A 15,698-nucleotide genomic window follows, 5' to 3' on the forward strand; every position below is an offset into this window, starting at 1 on the left:
CATTCCCTTTCATAGAGCAGGTTTGAAACACTCTTTCTGTAGTATCTGCAAGCTGACGTTTCAAGCGCTTTCAGGCCTATGGTGAGAAAGGAAATATCTTCAAGTAAAAACTAGACAGAAGCATTCTCAGAAACTTATTTGCGATGTGTGTCCTCAACTAACAGAGTTGAACCTTTCTTTTGATACAACATTTTGGAAACACTCTTTTTGTAGAATCTGCAAGTGGATATTTGGATAGCTTTGAAGGTTTCGTTGGAAACGGGAATATCTTCATATGAAATCAAGACAGAAGCATTCTCAGAAAGTGCTTTGTGATGTTTGCATTCAAGTCACAGAGTTGAATATTCCCTTTTATAGAGCAGGTTTGAAACACTCTTTCTGCACTACCTGGAAGTGGACATTTGGAGCGCTTTGAGGCCTATGTTGAAAAAGGAAATATCTTCCCATAAAAACTAGACAGAAGCATTCTCAGAAACTTGTTTGTGATGTGTGTATTCAACTAACAGAGATGAACCTTTCTTTTTACAGAGCAGTTTTGAAACACTCTTTTTGTGGAATCTGAAAGTGGATATTTGGATAGCTTTGAGGATTTCGTTGGAAACGGGATTACATATAAAATCTAGGGAGAAGAATTCTCAGGAACTTCTTTGTGATGTTTGCATTCACGTCACAGAACTGAACATTCCCTTTCATATAGCATGTTTGAAACACTCTTTCTGTAGTATCTGCAAGTGGATATTTCAAGCGCTTTCAGGCCTCTGGTGAGAAAGGAAATATCTTCAAATAAAAACTGGACAGAAGCATTCTCAGAAACTTATTTGCGATGTGTGTCCTCAACTAACAGAGTTGAACCTTTCTTTTGATACAACATTTTGGAAACACTCTTTTTGTAGAATCTGCAAGTGGATATTTGAATAGCTTTGAAGGTTTCGTTGGAAACGGGAATATCTTCATATAAAATCAAGACAGAAGCATTCTCAGAAACTGCTTTGTGATGTCTTCATTCAAGTCACAGAGTAGAATGTTCCCTTTTATAGAGCAGGTTTGAAACACTCTGTGCACTACCTGGAAGTGGACATTTGGAGCGCTTTGAGGCCTATGTTGAAAAAGGAAATATCTTCCCATAGAAACTAGACAGAAGCATTCTCAGAAACTTGTTTTTGATGTGTGTATTCAACTAACAGAGATGAACCTTTCTTTTTACAGAGCAGTTTTGAAACACTCTTTTTGTGGAATCTGAAAGTGGATATTTGGATAGCTTTGAGGATTTCGTTGGAAACGGGATTACATATAAAATCTAGAGAGAAGCATTCTCAGGAACTTCTTTGTGATGTTTGCCTTCAAGTCACAGGACTGAACATTCCCTTTCATAGAGCAGGTTTGAAACACTCTTTCTGTAGTATCTGCAAGCTGACGTTTCAAGCGCTTTCAGGCCTATGGTGAGAAAGGAAATATCTTCAAGTAAAAACTAGACAGAAGCATTCTCAGAAACTTATTTGCGATGTGTGTCCTCAACTAACAGAGTTGAACCTTTCTTTTGATACAACATTTTGGAAACACTCTTTTTGTAGAATCTGCAAGTGGATATTTGGATAGCTTTGAAGGTTTCGTTGGAAACGGGAATATCTTCATATGAAATCAAGACAGAAGCATTCTCAGAAACTGCTTTGTGATGTCTTCATTCAAGTCACAGACTAGAATGTTCCCTTTTATAGAGCAGGTTTGAAACACTCAGTGCACTACCTGGAAGTGGACATTTGGAGCGCTTTGACGCCTATGTTGAAAAAGGAAATATCTTCCCATAGAAACTAGACAGAAGCATTCTCAGAAACTTGTTTGTGATGTGTGTATTCAACTAACAGAGATGAACCTTTCTTTTTACAGAGCAGTTTTGAAACACTCTTTTTGTGGAATCTGAAAGTGGATATTTGGATAGCTTTGAGGATTTCGTTGGAAACGGGATTACATATAAAACCTAGAGAGAAGCATTCTCAGGAACTTCTTTGTGATGTTTGCATTCAAGTCACAGAACTGAACATTCCCTTTCATAGAGCAGGTTTGAAACACTCTTTCTGTAGTATCTGCAAGCAGACGTTTCAAGCGCTTTCAGGCCTGTGTTGAAAAAGGAAATATCTTCAAATAAAAACTAGACAGAAGCATTCTCAGAAACTTATTTGCCATGTGTGTTCTCAACTAACAGAGTTGAACCTTTGTTTTGATACGGCATTTTGGAAACACTCTTTTTGTAGAATCTGCAGGTGGATATTCGGATAGCTTTGAAGGTTTCGTTGGAAACGGGAATATCTTCATATAAAATCTAGACGGAAGCATTCTCAGAAAGTGCTTTGTGATGTTTGCATTCAAGTCACAGAGTTGAATATTCCCTTTTATAGAGCAGGTTTGAAACACTCTTTCTGCACTACCTGGAAGTGGACATTTGGAGCGCTTTGAGGCCTATGTTGAAAAAGGAAATATCTTCCCATAAAAACTAGACAGAAGCATTCTCAGAAACTTGTTTGTGATGTGTGTATTCAACTAACAGAGATGAACCTTTCTTTTCTCAGAGCAGTTTTGAAACACTCTTTTTGTGGAATCTGAAAGTGGATATTTGGATAGCTTTGAGGATTTCGTTGCAAACGGGATTACATATAAAATCTAGAGAGAAGCACTCTCAGGAATTTTTTTGTGATGTTTGCATTCTCATCACAGAACTGAACATTCCCTTTCATAGAGCAGGTTTGAAACACTCTTTCTGTACTATCTGCAAACGGACATTTCAAGCGCTTTCAGGCCTATGGTGAGAAAGGAAATATCTTCAAGTAAAAACCAGACAGAAGCATTCTCAGAAACTTATTTGCGATGTGTGTCCTCAACTAACAGAAGTTGAACCTTTCTTTTGATACAACATTTTGGAAACACTCTTTTTGTAGAATCTGCAAGTGGATATTTGAATAGCTTTGAAGGTTTCGTTGGAAACGGGAATATCTTCATATAAAATCAAGACGGAAGCATTCTCAGAAACTTCTCTGTGATGTTTGCATTCAACTCATAGAGTTGAACACTTCCCTTCATACAGCAGGTTTGAAACACTCTTTTTGTAATATTTGGAAGTGGACATTTGCAGCGCTTTGAGGCCTATGATGAAAAAGGTAATATCTTCCCATAAAAACTAGACAGAAGCATTCTCAGAAACTTGTTTGTGATGTGTGTATTCAACTAACAGAGATGAACCTTTCTTTTTACAGAGCAGTTTTGAAACACTCTTTTTGTGGAATCTGAAAGTGGATATTTGGATAGCTTTGCGGATTTCGTTGGAAACGGGATTACATATAAAATCTAGGGAGAAGCATTCTCAGGAACTTCTTTGTGATGTTTGCATTCACGTCACAGAACTGAACATTCCCTTTCATAGAGCAGGTTTGAAACACTCTTTCTGTAGTATCTGCAAGCTGACGTTTCAAGCGCTTTCAGGCCTGTGGTGAAAAAGGAAATATCTTCAAATAAAAACTAGACAGAAGCATTCTCAGAAACTTCTTTGTGCTGTATGTCCTCAATTAACAGAGTTGAACCTTTGTGTGGATACAGCATTTTGGAAACATTCCTTTAGTAGAATCTGCAAGTTGATATTTAGATAGCTAGGAAGATTTCCTTGGAAACGGGAATATCTTCATATAAAATCTAGACGGAAGCATTCTCAGAAACTGCTTTGTGATGTTTTCATTCAAGTCACAGAGTAGAATGTTCCCTGTTATATACCAGGTTTGAGACACTCTTTCTGCACAACCTGGAAGTGGACGTTTGGAGCGCTTTGAGGCCTATGTTGAAAAAGGAAATATCTTCCCATAAAAACTAGACAGAAAGCATTTCTCAGAAACTTGTTTGTGATGTGTGTATTCAACTAACAGAGATGAACCTTTCTTTTTACAGAGCAGTTTTGAAACACTCTTTTTGTGGAATCTGAAAGTGGATATTTGGATAGCTTTGAGGATTTCGTTGGAAACGGGATTACATATAAAACCTAGAGAGAGCATTCTCAGGAACTTCTTTGTGATGTTTGCCTTCAAGTCACAGGACTGAACATTCCCTTTCATAGAGCAGGTTTGAAACACTCTTTCTGTAGTATCTGCAAGCTGACGTTTCAAGCGCTTTCAGGCCTATGGTGAGAAAGGAAATATCTTCAAGTAAAAACTAGACAGAAGCATTCTCAGAAACTTATTTGCGATGTGTGTCCTCAACTAACAGAGTTGAACCTTTCTTTTGATACAACATTTTGGAAACACTCTTTTTGTAGAATCTGCAAGTGGATATTTGGATAGCTTTGAAGGTTTCGTTGGAAACGGGAATATCTTCATATGAAATCAAGACAGAAGCATTCTCAGAAAGTGCTTTGTGATGTTTGCATTCAAGTCACAGAGTTGAATATTCCCTTTTATAGAGCAGGTTTGAAACACTCTTTCTGCACTACCTGGAAGTGGACATTTGGAGCGCTTTGAGGCCTATGTTGAAAAAGGAAATATCTTCCCATAAAAACTAGACAGAAGCATTCTCAGAAACTTGTTTGTGATGTGTGTATTCAACTAACAGAGATGAACCTTTCTTTTTACAGAGCAGTTTTGAAACACTCTTTTTGTGGAATCTGAAAGTGGATATTTGGATAGCTTTGAGGATTTCGTTGGAAACGGGATTACATATAAAACCTAGAGAGAAGCATTCTCAGGAACTTCTTTGTGATGTTTGCATTCAAGTCACAGAACTGAACATTCCCTTTCATAGAGCAGGTTTGAAACACTCTTTCTGTAGTATCTGCAAGCGGACGTTTTAAGCGCTTTCAGGCCTGTGGTGAGAAAGGAAATATCTTCAAATAAAAACTAGACAGAAGCATTCTCAGAAACTTATTTGCGATGTGTGTCCTCAACTAACAGAGTTGAACCTTTGTTTTGATACAACATTTTGGAAACACTCTTTTTGTAGAATCTGCAAGTGGATATTTGGATAGCTTTGAAGGTTTCGTTGGAAAAGGGAATATCTTCATATAAAATCAAGACAGAAGCATTCTCAGAAACTGCTTTGTGATGTTTTCATTCAAGTCACAGAGTAGAATGTTCCCTGTTATATACCAGGTTTGAGACACTCTTTCTGCACTACCTGGAAGTGGACATTTGCAGCGCTTTGAGGCCTATGATGAAAAAGGAAATATCTTCCCATAAAAACTAGACAGAAAGCATTCTCAGAAACTTGTTTGTGATGTGTGTATTCAACTAACAGAGATGAACCTTTCTTTTTACAGAGCAGTTTTGAAACACTCTTTTTGTGGAATCTGAAAGTGGATATTTGGATAGCTTTGAGGATTTCGTTGGAAACGGGATTACATACAAAATCTAGAGAGAAGAATTCTCAGGAACTTCTTTGTGATGTTTGCATTCACGTCACAGAACTGAACATTCCCTTTCATAGAGCATGTTTGAAACACTCTTTCTGTAGTATCTGCAACCGGACATTTCAAGCGCTTTCAGGCCTGTGGTGAGAAAGGAAATATCTTCAAATAAAAACTAGACAGAAGCATTCTCAGAAACTTATTTGCGATGTGTGTCCTCAACTAACAGAGTTGAACATTTGTTTGGATACAGCATTTTGGAAACATTCCTTTAGTAGTATCTGCAAGTTGATATTTATATAGGAAGATTTCGTTGGAAACGGGAATCTCTTCATATAAAATCTAGACGGAAGCATTCTCAGAAACTTCTCTGTGATGTTTGCTTTCAACTCATAGAGTGGAACACTTCCTTTCATAGAGCAGGTTTGAAACACTCTTTTTGTAATATTTGGAAGCGGACATTGGCAGCGCTTTGAGGCCTATGGTGAAAAAGGAAATATCTTCTCCTAAAAACCAGACAGAAGCATTCTCATAAACTTCCTTGTGATGTGTGTACTCAAGTAACAGAGATGAACCTTCCTTTTGACAGAGCAGTTTTGAAACACTCTTTTTGTAGAATCTGCAAGTGGATATTTTGATACCTTTGAGGATTTCGTTGGACACGGGATATCTTCATATAAAATCTAGACAGAAAGCATTCTCAGGAACTTCTTTTTGATGTTTGCCTTCAAGTCACAGGACTGAACATTCCCTTTCATAGAGCAGGTTTGAAACACTCTTTCTGTAGTATCTGCAAGCTGACGTTTCAAGCGCTTTCAGGCCTATGGTGAGAAAGGAAATATCTTCAAGTAAAAACTAGACAGAAGCATTCTCAGAAACTTCTTTGTGCTGTATGTCCTCAATTAACAGAGTTGAACCTTTGTGTGGATACAGCATTTTGGAAACATTCCTTTAGTAGAATCTGCAAGTTGATATTTAGATAGCTAGGAAGATTTCCTTGGAAACGGGAATATCTTCATATAAAATCTAGACGGAAGCATTCTCAGAAACTGCTTTGTGATGTTTTCATTCAAGTCACAGAGTAGAATGTTCCCTGTTATATACCAGGTTTGAGACACTCTTTCTGCACTACCCGGAAGTGGACGTTTGGAGCGCTTTGAGGCCTATGTTGAAAAAGGAAATATCTTCCCATAAAAACTAGACAGAAGCATTCTCAGAAACTTGTTTGTGATGTGTGTATTCAACTAACAGAGATGAACCTTTCTTTTTACAGAGCAGTTTTGAAACACTCTTTTTGTGGAATCTGAAAGTGGATATTTGGATAGCTTTGAGGATTTCGTTGGAAACGGGATTACATATAAAACCTAGAGAGAAGCATTCTCAGGAACTTCTTTGTGATGTTTGCATTCAAGTCACAGAACTGAACATTCCCTTTCATAGAGCAGGTTTGAAACACTCTTTCTGTAGTATCTGCAAGCGGAAGTTTCAAGCGCTTTCAGGCCTGTGGTGAAAAAGGAAATATCTTCAAATAAAAACTAGACAAAAGCATTCTCAGAAACTTATTTGCGATGTGTGTCCTCAACTAACAGAGTTGAACCTTTCTTTTGATACAACATTTTGGAAACACTCTTTTTGTAGAATCTGCAAGTGGATATTTGAATAGCTTTGAAGGTTTCGTTGGAAACGGGAATATGCTTCATATAAAATCAAGACAGAAGCATTCTCAGAAAGTGCTTTGTGATGTTTGCATTCAAGTCACAGAGTTGAATGTTCCCTTTTATAGAGCAGGTTTGAAACACTCTTTCTGCACTACCTGGAAGTGGACATTTGGAGCGCTTTGAGGCCTATGTTGAAAAAGGAAATATCTTCCCATAAAAACTAGACAGAAGCATTCTCAGAAACTTGTTTGTGATGTGTGTATTCAACTAACAGAGATGAACCTTTCTTTTTACAGAGCAGTTTTGAAACACTCTTTTTGTGGAATCTGAAAGTGGATATTTGGATAGCTTTGAGGATTTCGTTGGAAACGGGATTACATATAAAACCTAGAGAGAAGCATTCTCAGGAACTTCTTTGTGATGTTTGCATTCAAGTCACAGAACTGAACATTCCCTTTCATAGAGCAGGTTTGAAACACTCTTTCTGTAGTATCTGCAAGCGGACGTTTTAAGCGCTTTCAGGCCTGTGGTGAGAAAGGAAATATCTTCAAATAAAAACTAGACAGAAGCATTCTCAGAAACTTATTTGCGATGTGTGTCCTCAACTAACAGAGTTGAACCTTTCTTTTGATACAACATTTTGGAAACACTCTTTTTGTAGAATCTGCAAGTGGATATTTGGATAGCTTTGAAGGTTTCGTTGGAAACGGGAATATCTTCATATAAAATCAAGACAGAAGCATTCTCAGAAACTGCTTTGTGATGTTTTCATTCAAGTCACAGAGTAGAATGTTCCCTGTTATATACCAGGTTTGAGACACTCTTTCTGCACTACCTGGAAGTGGACGTTTGGAGCGCTTTGAGGCCTATGTTGAAAAAGGAAATATCTTCCCATAAAAACTAGACAGAAGCATTCTCAGAAACTTGTTTGTGATGTGTGTATTCAACTAACAGAGATGAACCTTTCTTTTTACAGAGCAGTTTTGAAACACTCTTTTTGTGGAATCTGAAAGTGGATATTTGGATAGCTTTGAGGATTTCGTTGGAAACGGGATTACATATAAAACCTAGAGAGAAGCATTCTCAGGAACTTCTTTGTGATGTTTGCATTCACGTCACAGAACTGAACATTCCCTTTCATAGAGCATGTTTGAAACACTCTTTCTGTAGTATCTGCAAACGGACATTTCAAACGCTTTCAGGCCTATGGTGAGAAAGGAAATATCTTCAAATAAAAACTAGACAGAAGCATTCTCAGAAACTTATTTGCTATGTGTGTTCTCAACTAACAGGGTTGAACCTTTGTTTTGATATGGCATTTTGGAAACACTCTTTTTGTAGAATCTGCAGGTGGATATTCGGATAGCTTTGAAGGTTTCGTTGGAAACGGGAATATCTTCATATAAAATCTAGACGGAAGCATTCTCAGAAACTTCTCTGTGATGTTTGCATTCAACTCATAGAGTTGAACACTTCCCTTCATACAGCAGGTTTGAAACACTCTTTTTGTAATATTTGGAAGTGGACATTTGCAGCGCTTTGAGGCCTATGATGAAAAAGGTAATATCTTCCCATAAAAACTAGACAGAAGCATTCTCAGAAACTTGTTTGTGATGTGTGTATTCAACTAACAGAGATGAACCTTTCTTTTTACAGAGCAGTTTTGAAACACTCTTTTTGTGGAATCTGAAAGTGGATATTTGGATAGCTTTGAGGATTTCATTGGAAACGGGATTACATATAAAATCTAGGGAGAAGCATTCTCAGGAACTTCTTTGTGATGTTTGCATTCAAGTCACAGAACAGAACATTCCCTTTCATAGAGCAGGTTTGAAACACTCTTTCTGTAGTATCTGCAAGCGGACGTTTGAAGCGCTTTCAGGCCTGTGGTGAAAAAGGAAATATCTTCAAATAAAAAGTAGACAGAAGCATTCTCAGAAACTTATTTGCGATGTGTGTCCTCAACTAACAGAGTTGAACCTTTCTTTTGATACAACATTTTGGAAACACTCTTTTTGTAGAATCTGCAAGTGGATATTTGAATAGCTTTGAAGGTTTCGTTGGAAACGGGAATATCTTCATATAAAATCAAGACGGAAGCATTCTCAGAAACTTCTCTGTGATGTTTGCATTCAACTCATAGAGTTGAACACTTCCCTTCATACAGCAGGTTTGAAACACTCTTTTTGTAATATTTGGAAGTGGACATTTGCAGCGCTTTGAGGCCTATGTTGAAAAAGGAAATATCTTCTCCTAAAAACCAGACAGAAGCATTCTCAGAAACTTCCTTGTGATGTGTGTACTCAAGTAACAGAGTTGAACCTTACTTCTGACAGAGCCGTTTTGAAACAGTCTTTTTGTAGAATCTGGAAGTAGATATTTGGATACTTTTGAGGATTTCTTTGGAAACGGGATATATTCATATAAAATCTAGACAGAAGCATTCTCAGAAACTTCTCTGTTCTGTTTGCATTCAACTCATAGAGTTGAACACTTCCTTTCATAGAGCTGGTTTGAAATACTCTTTTTGTAATATTTGGAAGTGGACATTGGCAGCGCTTTGAAGCCTATGGTGAAAAAGGAGATATCTTCTCCTAAAAACCAGACAGAAGCATTCTCAGAATCTTTCTTGTGATGTGTGTACTCAAGTAACAGAGTTGAACCTTCATTTTGACAGAACAGTTTTGAAGCACTCTTTTTGTAGAATCTGCAAGTGGATATTTTGATACCTTTGAGGATTTCGTTAGACACGGGATATCTTCATATAAAATCTAGACAGAAGCATTCTCAGGAACTTCTTTGTGATGTTTGCATTCACGTCACAGAACTGATCATTCCCTTTCATACAGCATGTTTGAAACACTCTTTCTGTAGTATCTGCAAACGGACATTTCAAACGCTTTCAGGCCTATGGTGAGAAAGGAAATATCTTCAAATAAAAACTAGACAGAAGCATTCTCAGAAACTTGTTTGTGATGTGTGTATTCAACTAACAGAGATGAACCTTTCTTTTTACAGAGCAGTTTTGAAACACTCTTTTTGTGGAATCTGAAAGTGGATATTTGGATAGCTTTGAGGATTTCGTTGGAAACGGGATTACATATAAAACCTAGAGAGAAGCATTCTCAGGAACTTCTTTGTGATGTTTGCATTCAAGTCACAGAACTGAACATTCCCTTTCATAGAGCAGGTTTGAAACACTCTTTCTGTAGTATCTGCAAGCGGACGTTTCAAGCGCTTTCAGGCCTGTGGTGAAAAGGAAATATCTTCAAATAAAAACTAGACAGAAGCATTCTCAGAAACTTATTTGCGATGTGTGTCCTCAACTAACAGAGTTGAACCTTTGTTTTGATACAGCATTTTGGAAACACTCTTTTTGTAGGATCTGCAGGTGGATATTTGGATAGCTTTTAAGGTTTCGTTGGAAACGGGAATATCTTCATATAAAATCAAGACAGAAGCATTCTCAGAAACTTCTCTGTGATGTTTGCATTCAACTCATAGAGTTGAAGACTTCCTTTCATAGAGCCGGTTTGAAACACTCTGTGCACTACCTGGAAGTGGACATTTCGAGCGCTTTGAGGCCTATGTTGAAAAAGGAAATATCTTCCCATAAAAACTAGACAGAAGCATTCTCAGAAACTTGTTTGTGATGTGTGTATTCAACTAACAGATATGAACCTTTCTTTTTACAGAGCAGTTTTGAAACACTCTTTTTGTGGAATCTGAAAGTGGATATTTGGATAGCTTTGAGGATTTCGTTGGAAACGGGATTACATATAAAATCTAGGGAGAAGCATTCTCAGGAACTTCTTTGTGATGTTTGCATTCACGTCACAGAACTGAACATTCCCTTTAATAGAGCATGTTTGAAACACTCTTTCTGTAGTATCTGCAAGCGGACGTTTTAAGCGCTTTCAAGCCTGTGGTGAGAAAGGAAATATCTTCAAATAAAAACTAGACAGAAGCATTCTCAGAAACTTATTTGCGATGTGTGTCCTCAACTAACAGAGTTGAACCTTTCTTTTGATACAACATTTTGGAAACACTCTTTTTGTAGAATCTGCAAGTGGATATTTGGATAGCTTTGAAGGTTTCGTTGGAAACGGGAATATCTTCATATGAAATCAAGACAGAAGCATTCTCAGAAACTTCTCTGTGATGTTTGTATTCAACTCATAGAGTTGAACACTTCCCTTCATACAGCAGGTTTGAAACACTCTTTTTGTAATATTTGGAAGTGGACATTTGCAGCACTTTGAGGCCTATGATGAAAAAGGAAATATCTTCCCATAAAAACTAGACAGAAGCATTCTCAGAAACTTGTTTGTGATGTGTGTATTCAACTAACAGAGATGAACCTTTCTTTTTACAGAGCAGTTTTGAAACACTCTTTTTGTGGAATCTGAAAGTGGATATTTGGATAGCTTTGCGGATTTCGTTGGAAACGGGATTACATATAAAATCTAGGGAGAAGCATTCTCAGGAACTTCTTTGTGATGTTTGCATTCACGTCACAGAACTGAACATTCCCTTTCATAGAGCATGTTTGAAACACTCTTTCTGTAGTATCTGCAAACGGACATTTCAAACGCTTTCAGGCCTATGGTGAGAAAGGAAATATCTTCAAGTAAAAACTAGACAGAAGCATTCTCAGAAACTGATTTGCGATGTGTGTTCTCAACTAACAGAGTTGAACCTTTGTTTTGATACAGCATTTTGGAAACACTCTTTTTGTAGGATCTGCAGGTGGATATTTGGATAGCTTAGAAGGTTTCGTTGGAAACGGGAATATCTTCATAGAAAATCAAGACAGAAGCATTCTCAGAAAGTGCTTTGTGATGTTTGCATTCAAGTCACAGAGTTGAATATTCCCTTTTATAGAGCAGGTTTGAAACACTCTTTCTGCACTACCTGGAAGTGGACATTTGGAGCGCTTTGAGGCCTATGTTGAAAAAGGAAATATCTTCCCATAAAAACTAGACAGAAGCATTCTCAGAAACTTGTTTGTGATGTGTGTATTCAGCTAACAGAGGATGAATCTTTCTTTTTACAGAGCAGTTTTGAAACACTCTTTTTCTGGAATCTGAAAGTGGATATTTGGATAGCTTTGAGGATTTCGTTGGAAACGGGATTACATATAAAATCTAGAGAGAAGCATTCTCAGGAACTTCTTTGTGATGTTTGCCTTCAAGTCACAGGACTGAACATTCCCTTTCATAGAGCAGGTTTGAAACACTCTTTCTGTAGTATCTGCAAGCTGACGTTTCATGCGCTTTCAGGCCTATGGTGAGAAAGGAAATATCTTCAAGTAAAAACTAGACAGAAGCATTGTCAGAAACTTATTTGCCATGTGTGTTCTCAACTAACAGAGTTGAACCTTTGTTTTGATACGGCATTTTGGAAACAGTCTTTTTGTAGAATCTGCAGGTGGATATTCGGATAGCTTTGAAGGTTTCGTTGGAAACGGGAATATCTTCATATAAAATCTAGACGGAAGCATTCTCAGAAACTTCTCTGTGATGTTTGCATTCAACTCATAGAGTTGAACACTTCCCTTCATACAGCAGGTTTGAAACACTCTTTTTGTAATATTTGGAAGTGGACATTTGCAGCGCTTTGAGGCCTATGTTGAAAAAGGAAATATCTTCTCCTAAAAACCAGACAGAAGCATTCTCAGAAACTTGTTTGTGATGTGTGTATTCAACTAATAGAGATGAACCTTTCTTTTTACAGAGCAGTTTTGAAACACTCTTTTTGTGGAATCTGAAAGTGGATATTTGGATAGCTTTGAGGATTTCGTTGGAAACGGGATTACATATAAAATCTAGAGAGAAGCATTCTCAGGAACTTCTTTGTGATGTTTGCATTCAAGTCACAGAACTGAACATTCCCTTTCATAGAGCAGGTTTGAAACACTCTTTCTGTAGTATCTGCAAGCGGACGTTTTAAGCGCTTTCAGGCCTGTGGTGAGAAAGGAAATATCTTCAAATAAAAACTAGACAGAAGCATTCTCAGAAACTTCTTTGTGCTGTATGTCCTCAATTAACAGAGTTGAACCTTTGTGTGGATACAGCATTTTGGAAACATTCCTTTAGTAGAATCTGCAAGTTGATATTTAGATAGCTAGGAAGATTTCCTTGGAAACGGGAATATCTTCATATAAAATCTAGACGGAAGCATTCTCAGAAAGTGCTTTGTGATGTTTGCATTCAAGTCACAGAGTTGAATGTTCCCTTTTATAGAGCAGGTTTGAAACACTCTTTCTGCACTACCTGGAAGTGGACATTTGGAGCGCTTTGAGGCCTATGTTGAAAAAGGAAATATCTTCCCATAAAAACTAGACAGAAGCATTCTCAGAAACTTGTTTGTGATGTGTGTATTCAACTAACAGAGATGAACCTTTCTTTTTACAGAGCAGTTTTGAAACACTCTTTTTGTGGAATCTGAAAGTGGATATTTGGATAGCTTTGAGGATTTCGTTGGAAACGGGATTACATATAAAACCTAGAGAGAAGCATTCTCAGGAACTTCTTTGTGATGTTTGCATTCAAGTCACAGAACTGAACATTCCCTTTCATAGAGCATGTTTGAAACACTCTTTCTGTAGTATCTGCAAGCGGACGTTTCAAGCGCTTTCAGGCCTATGGTGAGAAAGGGAATATCTTCAAGTAAAAACTAGACAGAAGCATTCTCAGAAACTTATTTGCCATGTGTGTTCTCAACTAACAGAGTTGAACCTTTGTTTTGATACGGCATTTTGGAAACACTCTTTTTGTAGAATCTGCAGGTGGATATTCGGATAGCTTTGAAGGTTTCGTTGGAAACGGGAATATCTTCATATAAAATCTAGACGGAAGCATTCTCAGAAAGTGCTTTGTGATGTTTGCATTCAAGTCACAGAGTTGAATATTCCCTTTTATAGAGCAGGTTTGAAACACTCTTTCTGCACTACCTGGAAGTGGACATTTGGAGCGCTTTGAGGCCTATGTTGAAAAACGAAATATCTTCCCATAAAAACTAGACAGAAGCATTCTCAGAAACTTCCTTGTGATGTGTGTATTCAACTAACAGAGATGAACCTTTCTTTTTACAGAGCAGTTTTGAAACACTCTTTTTGTGGAATCTGAAAGTGGATATTTGGATAGCTTTGAGGATTTCGTTGGAAACGGGATTACATATAAAATCTAGGGAGAAGCATTCTCAGGAACTTCTTTGTGATGTTTGCATTCAAGTCACAGAACTGAACATTCCCTTTCATAGAGCAGGTTTGAAACACTCTTTCTGTAGTATCTGCAAGCGGACGTTTCAAGCGCTTTCAGGCCTGTGGTGAAAAAGGAAATATCTTCAAATAAAAACTAGACAGAAGCATTCTCAGAAACTTATTTGCGATGTGTGTTCTCAACTAAAAGAGTTGAACCTTTGTTTGGATACAACATTTTGGAAACACTCTTTTTGTAGAATCTGCAAGTGGATATTTGGATAGCTTTGAAGGTTGCGTTGGAAACGGGAATATCTTCATATAAAATCAAGACAGAAGCATTCTCAGAAACTTCTCTGTGATGTTTGCATTCAACTCATAGAGTTGAACACTTCCCTTCATACAGCAGGTTTGAAACACTCTTTTTGTAATATTTGGAAGTGGACATTTGCAGCGCTTTGAGGCCTATGATGAAAAAGGAAATATCTTCCCATAAAAACTAGACAGGAAGCATTCTCAGAAACTTGTTTGTGATGTGTGTATTCAACTAACAGAGATGAACCTTTCTTTTTACAGAGCAGTTTTGAAACACTCTTTTTGTGGAATCTGAAAGTGGATATTTGGATAGCTTTGAGGATTTCGTTGGAAACGGGATTACATATAAAACCTAGAGAGAAGCATTCTCAGGAACTTCTTTGTGATGTTTGCATTCAAGTCACAGAACTGAACATTCCCTTTCATAGAGCATGTTTGAAACACTCTTTCTGTAGTATCTGCAAGCGGACGTTTCAAGCGCTTTCAGGCCTATGGTGAGAAAGGAAATATCTTCAAGTAAAAACTAGACAGAAGCATTCTCAGAAACTTATTTGCGATGTGTGTTCTCAACTAACAGAGTTGAACCTTTGTTTTGATATGGCATTTTGGAAACACTCTTTTTGTAGAATCTGCAGGTGGATATTCGGATAGCTTTGAAGGTTTCGTTGGAAACGGGAATATCTTCATATAAAATCTAGACGGAAGCATTCTCAGAAACTTCTCTGTGATGTTTGCATTCAACTCATAGAGTTGAACACTTCCCTTCATACAGCAGGTTTGAAACACTCTTTTTGTAGTATTTGGAAGTGGACATTTGCAGCGCTTTGAGGCCTATGATGAAAAAGGAAATATCTTCCCATAAAAACTAGACAGAAGCATTCTCAGAAACTTGTTTGTGATGTGTGTATTCAACTAACAGAGATGAACCTTTCTTTTTACAGAGCAGTTTTGAAACACTCTTTTTGTGGAATCTGAAAGTGGATATTTGGATAGCTTTGAGGATTTCGTTGGAAACGGGATTACATATAAAACCTAGAGAGAAGCATTCTCAGGAACTTCTTTGTGATGTTTGCATTCAAGTCACAGAACTGAACATTCCCTTTCATAGAGCAGGTTTGAAACACTCTTTCTGTAGTATCTGCAAGCTGAC

The 15,698-nt window shown here is 37.5% G+C and overlaps 1 annotated feature.

The window, feature by feature from the left end:
* Positions 1-15,698: part of a centromere (Linear centromere model derived predominantly from reads generated in PMID: 17803354. This region does not represent an actual centromere sequence, as long-range ordering of repeats and unmapped WGS contigs is not provided by the model. For details of model production, see http://arxiv.org/abs/1307.0035.) that runs on past both edges of the window.

Source organism: Homo sapiens, chromosome 9 (genome assembly GCF_000001405.40).
Source record: "Homo sapiens chromosome 9, GRCh38.p14 Primary Assembly".
NCBI lineage: Eukaryota > Metazoa > Chordata > Mammalia > Primates > Hominidae > Homo > Homo sapiens.